We start from the raw sequence: 20,733 nt of genomic DNA, 5'->3' as shown, positions 1-20,733 counted from the left end.
TCAGACTGTAGGTGCCTTGGAGTGTGGCACATGGCATAATGCCTGGCTCCTTTAGGTGAGGCTGTAGCTTACTTCTCCCAACTGCAGTGAGTGCCAGGGAGGAAGCTTTGGGTCAGAAGAAGGCTTCTGCAATAGAAGTCGCTGCTCCCTCTTCAGGGCACTGAGGGTGCTGAGCGATGCAGGGGTCAGAACTCCCAGCTCCTATGGGATCAGGCAATGCCTTTGACTGCTTTATGCCTCAGTTTGACCATCTAGAAAAAAAGGACACGGGAGGGAACCTCTGGCATTCTGTGATTATCTCACTTTGTGACATTGAGCGGGGCACATCACTTTTGGGACTTGTTCCCTAGTATATAAAGTGGGGAGAAGCATGGGCCACTGCTGTCACCTCACTGAGAGTTTCAGAGGACTGTGCAGATGGTCTCTCCAGACCAAGCCTCTGGACCAAGGTGAGGGGTCAGAGGACACCGGGCTACTAGGGACTGCTCAGCCTGCTTCCCTGCAGCCAGGCCCCCATCTTTTCCTCTGCTGCCCCACCCTCTCTACCTTGGGTATGAGATGGCACAGCCAACCAGCTGTGCCCCACATCTGGAGGGACTTCCTCAGGCCGCAGCAGCCTAGCCTGGAGCCTGCCCCTCTGCAAACTCACCCACATACCTGGCAGCAGGAGTGTAGGCGGGCCCACCTGACAAAGGAACTCCCTGGCCCTGGGAGGACGGCATCCAGTCTGTTCTAGGCTCAGGGTCCTGGCTCCAGTGCTCTGAGCTCACCAAGGTTTATTTATTTATCATTTGTTTGGGGTGAAATGGGATAGAATCAAATCCAGTGGGCTGTTTAAGCAGCAGTTGGTGGAAAGAAAGCCATGTCTGTTTCTCCCAAAAGAATCCCCCGCATTGTGGCCCTGGCCCCTTGGTTGGGTTTCAGCAGACAATGCCCTCCTTTCTCCATGTGCCCGATGACTCGCCCCTGCCTGCCCGCCTGCCTGTCTGCCTCTGGTGCAGTGGGCCTGCTGCTGCCCGCTTGGCTTGGCGCTGGGGAGGAAAGGAGAGTCGACGCCTGAAGTCTCAGCCCATCAGTCCAGCCTGGCTTACCATGCCCTGCAGGACTTTTGGGACCACCATGCCCCTGTGACCTCCAGATCTCTGTTTGGGACATTTAGTTCATAAAAATGCATTGAAGGCCTGCTCTGTGTGGGGCACTGTGCCCACGGAAATGAAACCCTCTTCTCTACTGGAAGCAGGCCCAAGGGTTCAGGTCCCAGGTGAGCATCAGTACCCTTCCCACCAGTGCCCCCTCACCACTGCCAGTGGAGTTTCCATTGCCTTTTTGCAGATAAAAAATAAAGGAGACATCAAGGGGCTGAGCGACTTGCCAAGTTCACATAGGGAGGTGTTGGTGGCTGAAAATTTGGGGACACATTTTTCCACCACTCTGGTAGAGGCAAAGACGAGTGAATCAGCAGAGGCTGAGAGTGACCGAGGCAGCCTCTGTTGGTGAGCTCAGCATTCCTTGTTTGCTTGTCTGCAGCCATCTCTTCTCACTTCCCTTGTGACTTGGCTGAAGCCATTCTTCACATGTGGAATAATCCAGAGCCATCCCCTGGCCCCTGTTTTCCTTCTGTGCTCTCTGTCTGCCTCTCCAGCTTCATCATCTCCCTTGTCTTTTCCCATTCTGATCTCATTCTAACTTTGCTGTTTCTTCAGCTCATCAAACTCATTTCTGTCTTGGGCCTTTATACTTGAGCTCATCTGCACAGAGCTCTCTTCTGATGTGTGTATGTGGCTGGTCCTGGACAGATAAAGGGTCCATTAGATTTGCATGATTTCCTGCTGCCCATGCTTCTGAACACCTTACCTCTCTCTTCTTTCTTTTTATTATTATTTTTTTTTTCTTTTGAGACGGAGTCTTGCTCTATCGCCCAAGCTGGAGTGCAGTGGCCCGATCTCGGCTCACTGCAAGCTCTGTCTCCCAGGTTCACACCATTCTCCTGCTTCAGCCTCCCGAGTAGCTGGGACTACAGGCGCCCACCACACACCCGGCTAATTTTTTTGTATTTTTAGTAGAGATGGGGTTTCACAGTGTTAGCCAGGATGGTCTCGATCTCCTGACCTCGTGATCCGTCTGCCTTGGCCTCCCAAAGTGCTGGGATTACAGGCGTGAGCCACTGTGCCCCGCCTACCTCTCTCTCCTTTCTTTACACCATTTGTCACTTCCTGAAATCTTGGCACTTAGTTGCCTCCTTCTTATAGTTTTGTCTCTCCCACTGGAATGTAGGCTCCATGCCTGGTACATCCTAGGAGCTTGGTAAATATGTTTATTTTTTGAATGAGTGAATGAATGAATGAAATCTGAAATGTTGTGTCTTGATTTTCAGGGACTTTTTCTCAGAAAAATGTATTATTTTCTCTAGAAAGTTTCTGGGACCTTGGGGACACAGATCCGAAGAACCATAGCCTAGAAAGTACAATCATAGGCTGGGCACAGTGGCTCACACCTGTAATCCCAGCACTTTGGGAGGATGAGGCGGGTGGATCATTTGAGGTGAGGAGATCAAGACCAGCCTGGCCAACATAGTGAAACCTTGTCTCTACTAAAAATACAAATATTAGCTGGCCATGGTGGCACGCACCTGTAATCCCAGCTACCTGGAAGGCTGAGGCAGGAGAATCACTTGAACCCGGGAGGCAGAGGTTGCAGTGAGACAAGATCGCACCACTGCACTCCAGTCTGGGTGACAGAGTGAGACCCTGTCTCAAAAAAAAAAAAAAAAAAAAAAAAGAAAGAAAAGAAAATACAATCATAGAGTGGACTGATGGGAGAGGCCAATAGAGTTGGGCAGGGAAGTGACCAGGCTTCACAGGCTTCAGAGTCAAACAGAACTTTGAGACTTTGGGCAATTTACTCAGCTCTCTGGGCCTCAGTTTCCTCATCTGTAAAATGAGAATAATAATAGCCATATCACCCTCAAAAATTACTTTAATATTTTAAAAGTGCTTAGAATAGTGTCTGTCCCACAGCATGCATCATAGTAGCATTAATTGCAGTTACTCTTACTATGTATTAGCAATTTTACTATTATTAGTAATAGCATTAAAGTTATTGTTTGAACTCAGCTCTGACATTTACAACCCGTGTGCCCTTATGTTAGTCACGTAACCCCCTTGAACCTCAGTTTTCTTATTTATAAAATATGGTTAATGTCAGTGTATTAGTCTTATAGATTTGTCATGAGGATTTAATTTAAAAACTTAGCAAAGTCATGGGAGCTGGAAATGTAGGGACAGAAAGATGGAGACTAAAAGTGAGAGAGGGGTGATGAGGAGGCTTGGCGAGAGGGTGGTGAGAGAGATGATTCAGATGCACAGAAGTGGCGGGTGTAAGGAACTAAGTGGAAGGGAAACATCTTGAAATTTTGAAGGAGGAATACTGAGGTTAAGGAGAGAGAAAGGTCATCTTATTTGTCACTTGGGACGGTCTTAGAAGCTTATGGAGGGGTAAGAATTTTGTATTCTTCTCAATAAACCAAGTGCAAAGAAAAGAATTTGGGGTGAGGTCTTGGAGCTGCATTTCCTCTCCCTCATTCTCTTGAAAATGAAAATATGGTCTGATTTTTTAAACCTAAAGGGTTGGAAAGAGATAGGGAGGTCTAGACATTCGAGGTTTAAATCTGAAGGCTGTACTCGACCCTCAACTCCTGTCTTTTGTCTCCTGTCTCCAGGGGCAAGAAGAGGTAAAAAGTTAACAACCTGAGATAGGTGTGTTTACCACCAGGTGCTCTAAGCACAGCAGGTTTGCTGGGGTGACAGTTCCGGCCTGATTGGGAAGTTTAATGTTTGACTAGACTCCTTGTACCTTTTGCAAAGCCATTTTGCTTATTGGCCTTTAGCTGGTCTGTCTGCTCCCCCTAAAGGACATCCCTGGCAAGCCATCACTCAGGATATGCCCTCAGGATAACAGCACCTTTGCCTACATGCCCAAGTCTCTCTATCCCCACTGTCCCAGAGCCTATTAGCACTATTTTGGAATCTTTGACCCTAAGATTTTACGGCCTGCGTCATTAGAATTTCAGACCTTTTGACCTCAAGATTCCAAAGCCCACGGCCCCCCAAATTCCAGAATTTTTGTTGCCACAGATTTAAGAGTCCATGTCACCAAAAGTCTCAGAGCCTTTTGGGGTACTTATCTGGCTTCATTCAGATTCATGACACCTGGGCTGCTCTGTGCTTGACTTTCTGTCTTAAGGAGTACTGGACTAGGAATCAGGTCTAGGCCTGGAGCTTCTGATAGGTTGTGTATAGTCACCAGCAGGGGCTTTACCCTCTGAGCCTCGGTTTCCTCACCTATAAAGTGCGGGTAATCACCCTGTGAGCTGCGGGAGATAATGTGTTGGAAGGCAAGTGCTCTGCAGATGTGAGCTATTCCTGTGTTAGTGCATGTCAGCTCTGCTCAGCATCAGCGTCATGACACTGGAAAATCTAGCTGCATGACCTCCTTGTTTTGGCTTTTATTCACTCTATGGGCCATGGCCATCCTTTGCTGTTTACCAAGATTTTTAACTCAATTGACGCCCGAACTCCTCCAACCATGTCTTCTGGTCTTGGCTGCTTGACCTCTTTCCTGTACACTTTCTAGGAGTGCCCAAGTCATAATTAATCTCTTCCTTGCCTTCAGCCTCTCTGTTTATGCCTCAGTTGTGGCACTCTGCAAAGCTGCTTTGTATGAGTTATATATTGTATGTGTTAATGACGCCATTATGCTAATTACCTCCTGCCCCATCACTCCTGGGTGTTTGGTGCCTAACAGTGTTGACCAACCTTGGGTGAGGTCCTTGGCCTTTCTGAATCTTAATTTCCTTGCTGTTAACGTGGGAGAAAGTAGCACAAATCTCATAAAGTTGCAGTGATTAACAGTGACAAGAAATAAAAGATTTAAAATAGATGGCACTTAGTAGGTGTTCATAAGCATTAGTAGAGATGACAAAATAAGGTGGGAAGAACATAAGCTTTGAACCAGGCTTCAAACCACAGCTCTTGCTTTTGAGAATAATGTGACTTTAGACAGGCTACTTCCCTCTTCTAAGCCTAAACTTTCTCATCCTTAAAATGCTTAAAGCTGGCATAACAGGGTTGCAACAAAGGTTTGGTGTTCATATGAGTAAAATGCATGGAAAAGACCAGGAGCTCAATAAAGGGTAGGTACCTATTATTATTATTTCTCTTTACCTCCATATGGAAAAAAAAAAAACCTAGTCTTACTTGTCTTTTTTCATCACCTTGAGCTATTGTGTGTAGCACAATTGAGTCTCTGAAGCAAACTGAATTAGCAAAACTAGTAACACAGATGAAAAAGACTACAAAGAATAGTGAAAGGACAAAATATAAAATTTTGAGAGGGTAGAGGAGGGAACACTTCCTAACTCACTTCCCAGCTTTATAAGGCCAGGACTATCCTGATACCAAAACAAGGCCAAGAAATTATAAGAGAACTATAGACCAAAACCCCTTGTGTCATTAAATTGATGCAAAAACTCTCAACAAAATTATTAGTCATTCAAATCCAGCAAAATATAAAAAGGATAATACAATATGACCCAGGAATTATCCTGGGAATACAAGGCTGGTTTAATGTTCAAAAATCAATCAATGTAATTTCTTAAATCAGTAGACTAAAGAAGAAAAACCCATATGATCATCTCATTAGATGCAGAAAAGGCCTTTGACAAAATTCAATATTGCTCATGATAAAAACTCTCAGTAAACTAGGACTAGAAGAGAACTTTATCTGATAAAGAACATTTACAAAAAACCTACAAGCAATATCATATATAATGGTGAAAATAAAATACTTTCCCCTAAGATCAGAGACAAAGCAAATTACATATCTGATAAAGAACTTGTCTTTAGAATATATAAAGAATGCTCAAAACTAAATGATAAGAAAACAAATACAATTTTTTAAATAAGCAAAAGATTTGAACACTTCTCAAAAGAAGATATATGAATGGCAAGTAAGTACCATAATAAAAGATGCTTAACATGTTTAGTCATTAGAAAAATGCAAAGTAAAAGTACAGTGGAGTACTACAGTACAGTTAATCCAGTGGCTACAATTAAAACCGATAATAGCAAGGGTTGATGAGATTAAGGAGCTATTACAAATCTTGTACATTGTGGCTGGGAATGCAAAATGGTACAACCACTCTGGAAATCAGTTTTGCAGTTTTTATAACATTAAACATACACTTACCACATCCAGAAATCCCACTTGCAGGTATTTAACCAAGTGAAATCAAAACCTCTGTTCACACAGAAATGTTTATAGTGGCTTTCTTTGTAGCTACCCCAAATTTAAACAACCCAAATATCCCTAAACTGGGGAGACAATACAACACACTGTGGTGTATCCAAATAATGAAATACTGCTCAGCAACAAAAGGAAAAAAACTACTGATACAGGCCCAACATTGATGAATCTCAAATGCATGGTGCTGAATGAAAAGAAGTCAGACCGAAAAATGATTCATTTATATGACATTCTGGAAAAGGAAAAACTATAGAGACAGAAAACATCAGTGATTGTCAGGGACTGAGGAGGAGGGAGGGTTTACTACAGAGGGACACGAATTCTTTGGAGTGTTGGAACTGTTTTATATCTCAATTTGGGTGGTTACATGACTGTACATGTTCATCAAAACTCACAGAACCATACACCAAAAAAAGGTGCATTTATTATATGTAAATTATTTTTTAATAATGAAAACCATGAAAGCTCTGAGAGCAGGCTAGTAAAGCTTTAAGGTCTGTAACACAGGCAGAAAGCATGCAAATGTTTGTTGGACCTGGTAAAATCCTTCCTGAAGCCTCTTTCCCTTAGACTAGTTTCAGAGCTCAGAGCTACGGCTACATCCATGTCCAATCCAAGATGTGCCTGGGGGCTCATCGTCTCCCTGGAACATGGCAACATTGCTTCCCTGCCTTCCTGCCCTTTCACTATCTCCAAGTGCTGCTACAGAGATCTAAAACAGAAATGCACACACAACTCCTTCTTTCAGAGCTCCCCATTGCCTGGGCCGTGAAGTCTGAATCAGTCCCGTGGCATACACAGCCCTTGGAGATCTGTTCCCCACCCACCCCCAACTTCCCCAGCCCTTCCTAAGCTCCAGAATCACTGAACTACATGTCCTGCAGCACATTTCAGACTTGTCCCCGCATCAGTGCCTTTGGGGGTTCATTTTCTACTCCAAGAATTGTAGCCCCCTTTTTTCTATCTAATGAGTGTTTGTTCTCAACCTCCAAATCTCCTCTGAGATGTTCCCTCCCGGGAAGTTTGCCCAGGACAGAGCTGGCTATTTCCTCCTTGGTGTTCTGGAATCAGCCTGCTTATCACATCTTCTACTGTGGTAGCCATGTCCGTGAGCTGCTTACATCTGCCTTCGGGAAGAGTCTGCTGCCAGGGAGTAGAGAGAAGTGGCAGACTTCCAGCTAACAGTCAAGCCTGACCATTTCTGCCCAAACTCCTGTATGGACAATTTTTGCACCGGAGCTTCTTGTTGGGCAGGCTGAGAAATGTGTAGAGGGGCTTCAGTCTGCAGCACTTCCTACCTGATCCTTCTTCCTTCCTCCACCTGCTCTTTTCACCATGTCTGGCCTGCACTACAGTCAACTTTTTCCTTGCCTACTTGTGCTTCTTCTGTCCTTTGCCTTTCGTAAGCATTACTCCCAGTGAGTTGCTTGCACCTCTGACTCTGTCTTGGCTTCTGTTCCCTGAGACACTTCCTAATGGTTATTTCTTTTTTCCCATTGGTCTTTACTTCATTCTCCACTGGCTCTGAATTCATACATTTATTTATTCATTCAACAAATATTTCTTGAGAACCACCATCCAGAGTTCCCACCATTCACAGCTCAGTGCCAAGGTTGCTCTCTTTTCATAGGACCTAGCTGGATCCAACTCTTCTGCCATTCCCCCTGCTCCCTCTCTCCACACCCCTGAGAATTTCATGTTCTGTGGCCCCTCCATTCCTGGGCTCATGCACTCCCGTGTCCTGCAGCATCATCCTTTATTCCCCAGGTAGCTTCCTCCTTTAAGGCTTTGCCAAGCCTCAGGTCTGGGAAGCCTCCCTTGATGGCCCCTGGCCCTGGTTATTGCTCATGACAGTGCATAGCATATATTAGGTTGCAGAAATGATTAGTTGAGTGTCTGGCTGAATCTCAGATGACTATTGTCAGCATTGATTAGAAGACATAATGTGTGTAAAGCAACAAGCATGGGGCCTGGCAGGCAGTAGGTGTGTGGTAAATGCTCATGGTTGAGTTCCAGTAAATTCTATTTGAAGGCATATCTCATAAATTGCAGCTGATGTTTCTTTCCATTGTGTTCTGTGTGTGTGTGTGTGTGTGTGTGTGTGTGTGTGTGTGTGTGTTTTCTGGATGCATCTCACGTATAGTTGGAAAAGAGAGAGACAGTGAAATTTTCTACATTGTGTTTTTGTTTTGCTTTTTTGAGGCAGAGGTTGCAAATGTGCATTCCTCTTGTGGTGCCAGCACACCAGGCTGGAGTCAGGAGAATAAGTTCTAGCGTGAGTGGGGGTGTCTCTTCCAGTAGCTGAATATATGACCCTGTCCTTCTAAGGACCTCTGTTTCCCCATCTGTAATGAAGAATTGGACTCTGATTTCTGTGATCTTTGTGGAACTAAGGTCTTGCATTAGGGTGTAGAACCAATGAAATGAGCTTGCATTTGTTTTTTGTTTGAGATTATTTGTGCTTTTTTCAACCTCCTTTCTCCATGAAGGCTGAAAGTGCACAATATTGACTTGTAATAATGGGACGTAGAAGCTCAATAATCACTTTATAACTTGATATTAATTACATTTTACAGTTTACCTGTGGGGGAACATTGGCATCTTTCACACACATGTGAAATTTCGTGCCAAAAATGGAAGGACCCTAACATGGATTAAACACTAGTCATGTGCCATGTCCTTGAGTGGGGATTGCGTGTGCGTGTCCTCGTTGAATCTTCAGAACCCCGTTCTGGAGTAACCAGTGTTATCCCCATTTTTTTAAATTGGGGAACCAAGGCTCAGAGAGAGGAAGAAACTTTTCTAAAGGCTCAGAATAACCAAATGATTGGACTTTGAACCCACTGTTCCCTGACTTCAAAGCCTGTGCTCTTCTTTTGGATTCAAGTACGTTTGGGTTTAGGCTTTCAAAATAGAAAAGAAAAATCCAGTAACAACTAAAATACTTAGAAATGACGAATCAGTAAATGCTTGGGTATAGCAAGTAAGAAGCATGAGCTCTCACATTGCCAGCCTCATTCAAATCCCAGCTCAGGCCCCTACCAGTCTTCCTGTGTAGAGCAAGTTCCTAAGCCTCCTCTGCTTCCGTTACTTCAACTGTAAAATAAGTGTAATAATAGTATCTGCCTCCTAGGTTGTTACAAGCATCAAATAAATTAATATGCATAAAGAGTTTAAAGTAATGCCTGCCTGGAACCTGGTAAATGTGCAAAATTATTGTCATTAACATTATTGTTGTTGCAGTAGTCATCATTATTTTGATCCAAGCCTCGGGATCTGGGAGATTTCTTCTGATCAGGAGGGCAGTAGGTGGGTGGTGAGGGATGTCCTGAGAGTGTCATCATAGCAGCAGCCACATCTCCTTTGAGTCATGCAGAGGAACAGCAGAGTGCCTGAACCCTACTTGGTCTGGAGTAGTGCTTGCTGATTGCTGGAGCAGGACACTGCAAATGTATAAACACTGCAGCTATGGAGCCACTGCCTCCCCTGATCGTCCCCTTCACCCCGTTCCAACCACTTCCAGCTCTGGCCCTGCTCTGCTCTTAAGTGCTTAAATGCTCTGGGCCAATGAGCCTAGGAACTGCCATGCTTATTTTCCAAAGAGGGCAGGAGGCTTTTGCTCACCCATAGGTAGAGAACGTGACATCCTGAATGGGGTACTGGGGACTCTTGGTGTCCCTGGTGAACCAGGGAGTCTGAGAACAAAAGAAGGAAGAGGAAGGCAGAACCTAATTCAGAGAGACCATAATGCAGTCAGATTTACTCCCAGTACCAGGTGTGAGTAAATCTGATTGCATCACCCTCCTCTTCCAATAGTGTTTAGTCATTCATTAGACAAACATTTACTGAACTCCTGTGTTGCACCAGGCAAAGCTAAGTTAATAAGTATTAATTTGACAATGGTATTCCATTGACTAACATTTATTGGCACTTATAATAGCCCAGGCATTGTTCCAAGAACTTCACAAGTGTTAATTCATTGAATCCTCACACTAAAACCTGGTGGCTAAGTTCTATAATTATTCCTTTTTTGCAGATGAGGAAACTGAAGCACAGAGAGGTGAACTTACTTGCCCAGGGTCACACAGATAGTATGTGGCAGAGAAGGGACTCAAACCCAAGTGGCTGGGCCTCTGAGCTTCCAAGCCATCAGCTTCCAAGGAGACAGAGGCAAGTGAGCGTAGCTCATCAGTACCTTCTCACACCTCTCCTTTCAACCTTGTAACAGACAGCCTGGAGAGGTAGGCAAGGTGATTACTAGCCTGGTTTATACATGGAGAACTGAGACTGTGAAATGACTTAGCCAGGTTCACATAGCTAGGCAGTGTCCAGGTAAATTGGAAGTCAGGTTTCCCAGTTCTCAATGTAGTTCACTTTTTCTTGAACCAGGTGCATTTTTGTGGGTAAGTGGGCACACATCTATGTGTTTGTGTGTGCAAGTATGTGTATATGTGTGTACATGTATGTCTGCGAGTGTGTGCATACAAGTGTGTTTGTGTGTATATTCATGTGTACACATAGATGTGTATGTGTGTGCATGGGTGTGTGTACATGCACGTGTGTGCTTATCAGGATGGGGTCTGGTGGCGGGGGAGGGTAATGAGACACAGTGTGGCTAGCGGAAGCTTGGGGACTTCTACTCTAAGGAACTTGGTGTTCATCTTGGCTCTACCACTGAGGTTCTGGGACCTTGAATAGGTCCCCTCTCCTCTCCTTGGTTAGGATGAGGAGTGGCCAGGGTGAGAGTCTCAGAGGTGCTGCTCTTCTCTGGCATCCTCTGGCCACAGAGAGAAAGGAGGAGGGGTAAGTCTGGGAAGGCTGCACGGAAGAAGCACAAGATGTTTTGGGACAGAGACAGCCAGCCAGTCGGGAGTGGGTAAGTGTGGGTGGAGAGTGTCATTCATATGGCCCTACTGCTCTTCTGGGCTGGAGTCCAGGAATAGCTGTGGTGAGAACTACATTTCTAAAGTGGGTCTTAATGTTTTTCACTGCTGGAAAATACGCCATTATGGGCATTTTCCCCTCCGGATTCCTGGACTGCCATGCTCTCGAGATTCCCCCACACTGCTGCCTTTATTTCTCTCTGGCTGAAGCTTATTTTTATTCCTGCATCCTGCCTCTGTCCCTGGGTTTTATTGGACTTTAGGAGATGACTCAGGTCGAAGCTGGATGGCAAGGTCCTGTCCAGCAAGCCCCCCTGGCAGATGGGGACAGAGCACTGTAGCGGGGCTCAGGAAGCCTGTGGGGTCCTGGCCCTGCAGCCACTGATCTTCAGTTCATGGGAGGGAACGTGTAGTCACATCTGCCACATCTAGAGCTCTCCAGGAAGCAGTAGTGACACAGCAGGCAGGCATGTGACTTCTGCACCAGCTCCAGCTTGATTCTTCCTAGAGCGTGTGGACTTGGGCCATTCCTCTGTCTCTGCGCCTCAGTTTTCTCAAGTATTATATAATAATAGTCCCTGTCCATAGTACACCCCAACAAATTCCATCATCGCCATCGTCGGACACAGTGACTTGTTTTTGAGATGCTCACAGTCTGATGGTGGAGACAGGTAACTACTCAGCTACCTGTGAAGCAAGGAGAGTGATCCTGCTGCACAAGAATTCTGCAGGGTGCTGGGTGCTGGAAGCATTATCCATTCTACCTGGGAGCCAGGGGAGGTTCAGCAAGGCTGCATCTTGAAGAGTCAGAGTTTACGGATAGGACAGAGAAGGGGTCTAAGGGCACTGTAAACAGGAGCAGACGGTGTAAGCAAGAGTCCCTGTGGGAAACCACATGGTGATCAGGGCCAGGGAGAAGCTTAATAAAGGGTGCATCAGGGATGGTGGGGAACGGAAGGCTAGGAAATTCGGTTGGAGCCAGATCGTGAAGGGCCTTCCATGATAGAGTGTTTCCTGGGGCATTGGGAGCTCTGCAAGGTTTGCTTGGATCTCAGAAGGACCACTCTGGATTCAGTGTGGGAGGGAGGTGGACTAGAAAGGAGAGGCTAGAGGCAGGAAGGCCAGTAAGGAGGCTATGGAATAGTCCAGAAGTTACCAGAGGCCTGAGCTAGACAGAGCCTGGTTCCTAGGAAGCTCTGAGTTTATGTTTGAATGAAGGACTTGGAAAGGAGGACTCCTTGTGTGACCTTGAGTAAGTCACTTGTCCTCTGGAGGCTTCAGTTTTCCTGTCTGTAACAGTGACACTGAAATAGTCTTGTGGTTAGTATCAGAGTTAGACTCCCAGCCCAGCTTCTCATGAGCTGGGTGAATTAGGACAAGTAACTCCACCTCTTCAAGCTCCCGTAATTTTTCTGTCCAGGGGATTACAGTGTCCCTGTCTCATAGGGCTGTTGAGAGGACTAAAAGAGAACTCAGACAGAACAGAGAACATGGCACCTGGCAAATGGCAATCCTGCATAACTGTAAGCTCTCATCAGTGTTCTTCACTGCTACCTTATTTTATTCTTAGTATTACTACTACTATCATTTAAAATCTTCTTATCATTTAATGATAACATTTAAAAGTAGAACTTCTCTAACTTAAATCACAACATCCATCCTGGTATCCTGGTCTGTGTGCACCAGCCTGCTCATTGAATGTCTTCTCTTCATTGTCATGTTGGCTTTTATTGGATTTTGACCTCAAAAACTTTCAAAACTCTCTGCCTGTGCTTTCAATCCCATCTTCTGCCTGCATACCCTAATCGAAAGTGGAACTTACTAATTAATGATAATTACAGAATCCTGGGGGTGGGGGGGTTGGCATTAGGAATTCAAGGCTCCTCACCATGTGGTCTCCGTGATCCTCGTTCTCTTCCTCATCACCGTTATCCCAGGCACCCTAGCCTGGAAAGCTCTTTCCTGCATGCCACTCATCTTTCCCTAAGCTGTTTCTTCCTCCTAATTCACACCCCTCTGTCAGTCTGCCCCTCTCTGTCTCTGTCTCTGTCTCTGTCTGTCTCATGCACACACTCTTACTTTTCTGTGTATGAGATTCAGAACCCATTAAAGTCAACCTCTTATCCTCCTCCTGCCAAGAAACTATCTCAAATCCCTGCTTCCAGAAGAAATGAGTCCTCTGGTTCTCAGCCAAGACCTTCTCTCCGGCTGTGTGCACTGTCTTCACCCCACAGGTCTCAAATGTTGTGTGCTTCCTGCTGGAGTTGAACTGAATCCAGTCCAACACCATCGTTTTAGACAGGGACACATGATTCCAGTAAAAGGAAAGTGGGAGATCTCTCTTCTCCATTTCCCATTCTCAATCCCAGAGAGAAGAATTCCTCTGGGATCCCTCCAGCTGTTAGTAAGCTAAAGTCATGGAGTATGCACTATTCTCAAAGCAGAGGAGAAAGATGCATTTTCCCAGTGTCTAGTGCTTCCAAAAAGAAGACAGGTTGGAGCAGATGCCTTCTACCACTGCTTCCTACCTCCCTATCCACCACTATGTTTAGTCCAGGACTTGAGACAGAAAGGACCATAGTTTTCAGAAAAACAGATGGACAGGTGAAAAGGTTTGTAGATGGCCATACTCCAGAGACAGATAGAGCTGGGACTAAAATAACCAGTGGTGGTTTGACTCTTTAATCCTGAGTTTACTCTTGCTTGGCCTCTCTGCTCTCCTTTCCTTCACCTTCTGTGGCCTCTCTGTGCCTGCAGCGTTGAACCCCGCTCACCTGTATAACACTTAAAAGAGAGAAGGGTCCTGCTAATGGACTATACATCCCTTTCTGTTTTCTAGTCTCTTCCAGGCCTGAGTTCCCTTTGGCCTCATCTAATTTCCCTCAGGCCTTGTTCTGTGGGCCTGTGCCGGAAGTTTGGTGGCTACAATATGTAATTTAGGCCCCATTTGCGGCTGGCAAAATATATCATGAGTAGTAGAACTGGAGAATCATAATATTGTTGGAGACCACTGTGGGATTGAGGTGGGGAGCTAGGAGTTTTTTCCCATATCCTCTTGGAACAAGGAAGTCATGACAGACATGTGCACTGCCCCTGCTTCAATCCTTCACTGAGTCTGGAGCATTTGATTTATCTCCCTGGGTATCGGGGTTGGAATGTTCCCCTCTGTCCTTGGCTGCAGGTGGTATGAGCTGAAGGACAGTTTGCATCCACAGGGCAGGAGGCAGAATGATTGGCCTTAAGAGACAATACCTTCACTTAAACATTGGGTGGCCCCACCTCCATGAACCCTACTCCTTTATCAAGGATCTTGGGTCTCTTACCTGTGACAGGAAGCTTGTTTTTTTTTTTCCTAAAAATTCTGTGAATGGTAGAAAAGTAAAAGTGTCAGGGCCTGCCTCTGACTCTCTAAGTCACCCTGAACAAACCTCTTCCATTTTCTGGGCCTCAGTTTTCTCATTTGTAATAATGATGATGATGGTGGTGATGACAATGATAGTGATGATGATGGTGATGATAGTGACAGTGGTGGTGATGATGGTGATGATAGTAGTGATGATGATGGTGATGATCATGATGGTAGTAGTGATGATGGTGATGATTATGATGGTGATGGTGATGATGATGATCATGACGGTGGTGGTGATGATGATGATCATGATGGTGGTGGTGATGGTGATGATCATGATGGTGGTGGTGATGGTCATGATCATGATGGTAGTGGTGATGATGATGGTGATGGTGATGATCATGGTGGTGGTGGTGATGGTGATGATCATGGTAGTGGTGATGATGATGGTGATAATGATGATAATGATGGTGGTGGTGGTGATGGTGATGATCATGGTAGTGGTAATGATGGTGATGGTGATGATCATGCTGGTGGTGGTGGTGATGATCATGGTAGTGGTGATGATGATGGTGATAATGATGATAATGATGGTGGTGGTGGTGATGGTGATGATGATCATGGTAGTGGTGATGATGGTGATGGTGGTGATCATGATGGTGGTGGTGATGGTGATGATCATGATGGTGGTGGTGATGATGGTGATGGTGATAATTATGGTGGTGGTGATGGTGATGATCATGATGGTGATGGTAGTGATGGTGATGGTGGTGGTGGTGGTGATGATGATGATGATTCTTATTTGTTGATCAATGTGTTGTAAATGGTTTCCACATACTTATTCCATAGAACATTCCAATGTGGCAGGTACTGTTATCATACTTATTCTACAGATGAGAAAACTGAAGCATTGAATGATTAACTTGGCCAAGATCACGCAGCTCATAAGCGGAGGAAACAGAATACCTTTGACAACAAGGAGAGTGCAATAGGTTTTTTTAAGCTTCCTCCAAAATCCGAAATATAGTGGCAAACTAATTTTTAAAACTTATTATCCTTTTTATGCCTTTTCCTTTGTCTGTACAGCACTCCTCTGTAACTGAAGATACGCTTTCCTAGAAGTTCTATCCCTTCCTCAAGACTCAGCTCTTCCACAAGCCTCTCCTGACATCTCTAGGCTTGGTAGACCTCCTCATGGTCTGTCTGCCCTTTGCCCTCATACCTGCTGGGTTCTCTGTTCACCTTTCCTGTTGTTTTTCTGCTCCAGCACCCTGTGAGCTCCTAGTTGGGAGTGGGGCAAGATTTTACCCATCTCTTTCCATCTGCCCTAATGTAGGGCTGCTCTTAGGGTGGCCTGTTATTTCATCCACACTCATTGTGAGTCTATAAATGATGAAGAAGTCAATTCATGACCTCAGCCCCAAGTAAACCAATCTCTTCTCTTTGATCATTGGTCCACCAGTACATCACACCCTTTGCATTCAGCTGAGTCTGTTGCTAAGAATGGCTTTCTTGCCTGACCTCATTTGAGAGAGAGGAGAGACCTCATAGTTCCTGAGTCCCTCCTGTGTGCCAGGTGCCATTCTGGGTGCTTTCCCATATGTTCTTCTGTTTACTACGCTTAACAGCCCTGCAAGGCAGCAGCTCTTAGCTCTATTTTTACATTTGAGTCTCAGAGAAGGGAAACAGTTTGTCCAGGATTGCACAGCTAATGAGCAGCAAAATTGGAATTTGAGCATGAGTCTGCCTTCCTCTAAAGTTGAAGCTCTTTTTTTCTGTGGCTTTATTTCCTGCATCCTAAATTACAAGACATAGTGGGATATTTGGGATGCGTGGGCATGAAATATCATATAAGAGATACAGTTTAGATATCTAAATATTGGGGTTTCTAGGTCATTCTGGTGACATAAGGAACTGATGAGATATGGTATTTAAAAGTAGGACTAACCTAGAAAATTCAGGACTTTTCAGTCCCAGTTGAGATATAGTGTTTTTTTCCTGCAGTCCTATCTTACTTGCTTGTTGAAGCCTTTGCCCATTGCTTTTTTGAGTCCTCTTAAATATCCTGCAGTAGGGCAGTAATAAGTGACTGCCCTAATTTTATTACCTACTTAGTGCACTAGGACTTTCTTTATGTGAAGTTTGCTCAGTGGTCATTTCCTGAGTACCCGTGTTATTGAGGTCAGATATGTCCCCAGAAGCTCTATTTTAATGAAGCAAGAGACAAAACAGCCTGTTGCAATACAGTGACGACGGGTGCGAACACATGTGGTGTAAGGCTTAAATTTTGGGTTGGAATCTTCTGAATTTAAGTCCAGCTCCATTATTTGGCAGTTGTTTGACCTTAAGCAACTCCCTTAACCTCTCTGAGCTTTTGTTCCCTAGTCTGTCAAATGTGGATAAGGATAGTGCCTTTCTCCCAGGGATGAGGTGAAAAATAGATAAGGTACATGGTGCCTGGCAAAGAGGAAGCCCTCAGTAAATAGTAGGTGTAATTATGATTATGGTGTGCCATGCTAGAAGAGATTTACAGGGAGTAGAGACTACTTGTCTACCTGCGGGTGGGAGGCTGTGGGTGTCAGAGCAGGCTTCTTGCAGGATGCCAAAGCTGCCTCCTGAGGCATGAGTAGGAATTTTCCAGGTGGATAAAGAGAGGGCATTAGCAGGGTTGGACAGTGTTTTTCGGAGGCCCCTTTCACTGTGACTGTATCACCTGCTGCTTCCAACTCGGACTCTGCCTTGCATTTTGAGAGGAAGGGAGTAGGCTCTTTTGAGTACCATCTTGAAGGTTCTCCAGGACTCAGGAGATGCCCTGTTGGGGCTCTGATGGGAATTCCAGGTCACCAGATGCCTCCTGTTACATCTCCACTCTAAGCCCTGTGTCTGGCCTTGGATCCTCCTCCCTTGTAAATGTGGCCGATGACGAAACAGAGACATCAGTCCCATTTGTGGCTCCATCAGCTTTGGAAGCAGATCACGGGAATTTTCTGAGTCTGGGCCCCCAGCCAGAAGGCATTTATAATCAGACATGGAGCAATCATTAGAGCAGAAACAATAAATTACAACAGCACCAAGAGAACTCCCCAAAGCTGCTCACGCGAGGGGAGATCCAAGGAGCAGAATGCTAGCAGGCTCTGGGCCCGCCTGCCCCTCCCGCTGGCAGCCAAGGCCTCCTGCCTCACCACACTCAGCCTCTGCCCCCAGACGTCTGTGAGTGATGCAGCAGCACTGCCAGAAGAATGCGCCTTACCAGCTAGGACAGGGCTGTGGGCCTGACCTGTGTGCCTGCAGGGACTGTGGGAGGGGGTGTGGGAATGGGGAGGACTCCTTCACAAAGCACCTCCAGGGCCAGGCCCTGCATAGGTGTGAGGTCAGCCTAGTGTGGTGGGATGAACCAGAGACTGGGGAGTCAGGGACCTGCTGTGCAGTCTCCAAGCTGAGGGCTCACAGCAAGTCACTGACTCTCTCTCTAAGGTTCAACTTCCTTGTCTAAAATGGGAAAATAGTGCTTGCCATCTCACAGAATTATTGTAAAGATTAACATACTAAAGAGTGTCAAAAGCCTAGCACATACTAAGTGTTTAATAACATCAGCTTTTCCCCAACCCCTTCTTTCTACCCTCCAACTTGTGCTGTCCAATAAAACAACCCTTAGCCATCTGTGACTATTTAAACCTAAACTAAATTAAATTAAAAATTCAGTTTCTCAGTTGCACCAGCACATTTCAAGGGCTCAATAACCACAAACTTGTGTTGAGTGATCACTGTATTGGAAAGCACAGACACAGAACATTTCTGTTGTTGCATAAAGTTCTGTTGGACAGTGCTGTCTATCCCTCTGATTCATCTGCTATCTGGGAAAAGTTTGGTTCAGCAGATACTCACTGTGTCAAGCCCTGTAGTTACAAAGATGATTGGAGCTCTGTTCTGTCTCTCCAGGGGCACACAGTGTACCAACAGAGCAGTGTGTGCAAGAGTTTAGCCCCAGTGGAAGGGCACCTACATAGGACTAGAGGGAGTCAGAGAAGGTTCTCTGGAGGGGAATGTCTCAGCTGCTATTTATATACATCAAAGTGGAGAATGGCATTCTAGGTAGCACGGCAGAGAGGAGAGCATTCCCAAAGATATAAAGCTGAGTAACAGCAGTGTGGTTGTTTCATAGTCTCATATGTGAGACTATCAGAAACTCATTGCTGCCAAAGCACAAAGTGCAAGGTAAAGAATGACAGGAGAGGTTGGGTGTGGTAGCTCCCGCCTGTAATCCCAGCACTTTGGGAGGCTGAGGCGGGTGGATCACAAGGTCAGGAGATCGAGATCATCCTGGCTAATATGTTGAAACCCCGTCTCTACTAAAAAAATACAAAAAAAAAAATTAGCCAGGCGTGGTGGCGGGTGCCTATAGTCCCAGCTACTCAGGAGGCTGAGGCAGGAGAATGGCGTGAACTCAGGAGGCAGAGCTTGCAGTGAGCCAAGATTGCACCACTGCATGCCAGCCTGGACAACAAAGTGAGACTGCGTCTCAAAAAAAAAAAAAAAATGACAGGAGATGGGGGCTCACGGAGGGCTCTGAACGCCAAGGAGATGGGAGACTGAGTTCAATTCCTGGTCTGCTCATTGCCACTCATGTCCTTTGCCCTGTGCTAGTGCTGAATTACAAAGCTCAGACTCAAAGAGGTTTGCTGCATGACAAAGCAGATCACATGACCCAAGCTCACGTTCTGGGACCAAGAACCCCAGTATCAACTGCTGTAAGAGCCACCCGTTCTTTGAACTAGTCACTTGACAACTGTCAGTATCTATGATCCTCCTGACAGCCCTGTGAGTTAGGGATCATTAATCCCCATGTTCAGATGAGGAAGAAGTGACTTGCGCAGAGTCAACCAGCCATTAAATAGTGGGGCTGGGACTGTTACCTGTGGCTTCTCCTCTTTGAGAACCCAAGGCTCTGCCATGTTATGGCTGTTCTTGTGGATAAATTACACCCGCTTGTTCACTTGCTTCCTTAATCACAAGTTCCTTCTCCTGTTGCACGAATTTTTGCTCCTGTGCTTATCCCTTCTCTTCCCTGCATCAATTTCTCACTCTCTCCTGATCACTCAGGAGACACACATGCTATAGGATCTCCCATCTAGAAACAACTCCCTTGACTCCACATCCCTCCTCAGCTCCTGCCTTATTTCTCAGTTTCCCATTATAACTCAGCTCCTCCACGGACGTCTGTCCTCACTGCCTTCCATTGTCTTCTCAATCCAATCCTTATCACTATTTCATCCTCACTTCTGCTTTGCCACCACTTTTGTTCAATCCATTGGTCAGCCATTTGGTCCTCTCCTTGGTGCACCTTCTGTAGCTATACTCCAGGGAATCCCACCCAGCTCCATGGCCTTGAATCCATGTTGGCATTCCACTGATGCTGTTGTTTACCTCATGGATGGTCTTACATCATGTAGAGGTCTTAAAATTGGAGCAGTCTCTACCCTAAAGCTCTAGACTAGTCTCCAAGTGTTCACTCTGCAACTCTTCTTGGATGTGCACCAGGCATCTTAAATTTAACATGTTCATAAAAGAACTCTTGATTTCAGGTACTCTTCCTTCACCTCTCAAACTCCTCCTCCCCAGGACTTCATCTCAGTGAATGATTCAGGCCCAAAACCCTCCGTTAAGTCCTGTGATCAAATATCATATTCTCAGAGACATTCTCAGAGAGGTACAGCCCTGTTACTCTTTGTCCCTTTCCTCTGCTTTATTTCCCTCACAGCACTTGTTACTACTTGGATGTTGGGGTTATCTATTGCCGTGTGACAAACCACCCTAGGCTTAGTGACTTCACAGTACTTTTATTGTGCTCTTGATCCATGGGATCAGGACTTGGACAGGGAGCAGCTGGGCCATTTTGCTGTCTGTAGCATCCTGAGAGTTCACTCGGGTATTAGGCAGGCAACTGGGCTGGTGTGATGAGTTCTAGAAGCTTCCCTCTAGAAGGCAGGTATGGCTGGGAGATGGCAGCTGCGATACTTGCCCTCCCCACGTGGTGTCTCCAGAAGCATAGTTGAACTTCTCACGTGGCACCTCAGGAACCCATGCATGTATGCCAGGAGACAGGAAGTGGGAACGGCCAGTGTTACTGAGTCCTGGGCCAGAAAACAGGCACAGCATCACTTCTGCCTGATGTCTCAGTCAAAGTAGTTGCAGAACCCA

At 45.7% G+C, this 20,733-nt stretch overlaps 1 protein-coding gene across 10 annotated transcripts in view, besides 1 other annotated feature; it reads left to right on the top strand.

Moving 5' to 3' along the window:
* Positions 1-20,733, top strand: part of TRABD2B (TraB domain containing 2B) — a 236,858-nt gene that overhangs the window by 45,206 nt on the left and 170,919 nt on the right. The window lies entirely within an intron of this gene.
* Positions 17,773-18,288: an enhancer, noted in NCBI's record as "H3K4me1 hESC enhancer chr1:48399564-48400079 (GRCh37/hg19 assembly coordinates)". NCBI's record gives its function as "activates a minimal SCP1, AML or CMV promoter by ChIP-STARR-seq in primed H9 embryonic stem cells {active_cell/tissue: H9 hESC(primed)}" and the evidence as "EXISTENCE:reporter gene assay evidence [ECO:0000049][PMID:30033119]".

The sequence above is a fragment of the Homo sapiens genome, chromosome 1, assembly GCF_000001405.40.
Source record: "Homo sapiens chromosome 1, GRCh38.p14 Primary Assembly".
Taxonomy (NCBI): domain Eukaryota; kingdom Metazoa; phylum Chordata; class Mammalia; order Primates; family Hominidae; genus Homo; species Homo sapiens.
This window is presented reverse-complemented; position numbering and strand designations above follow the sequence as displayed.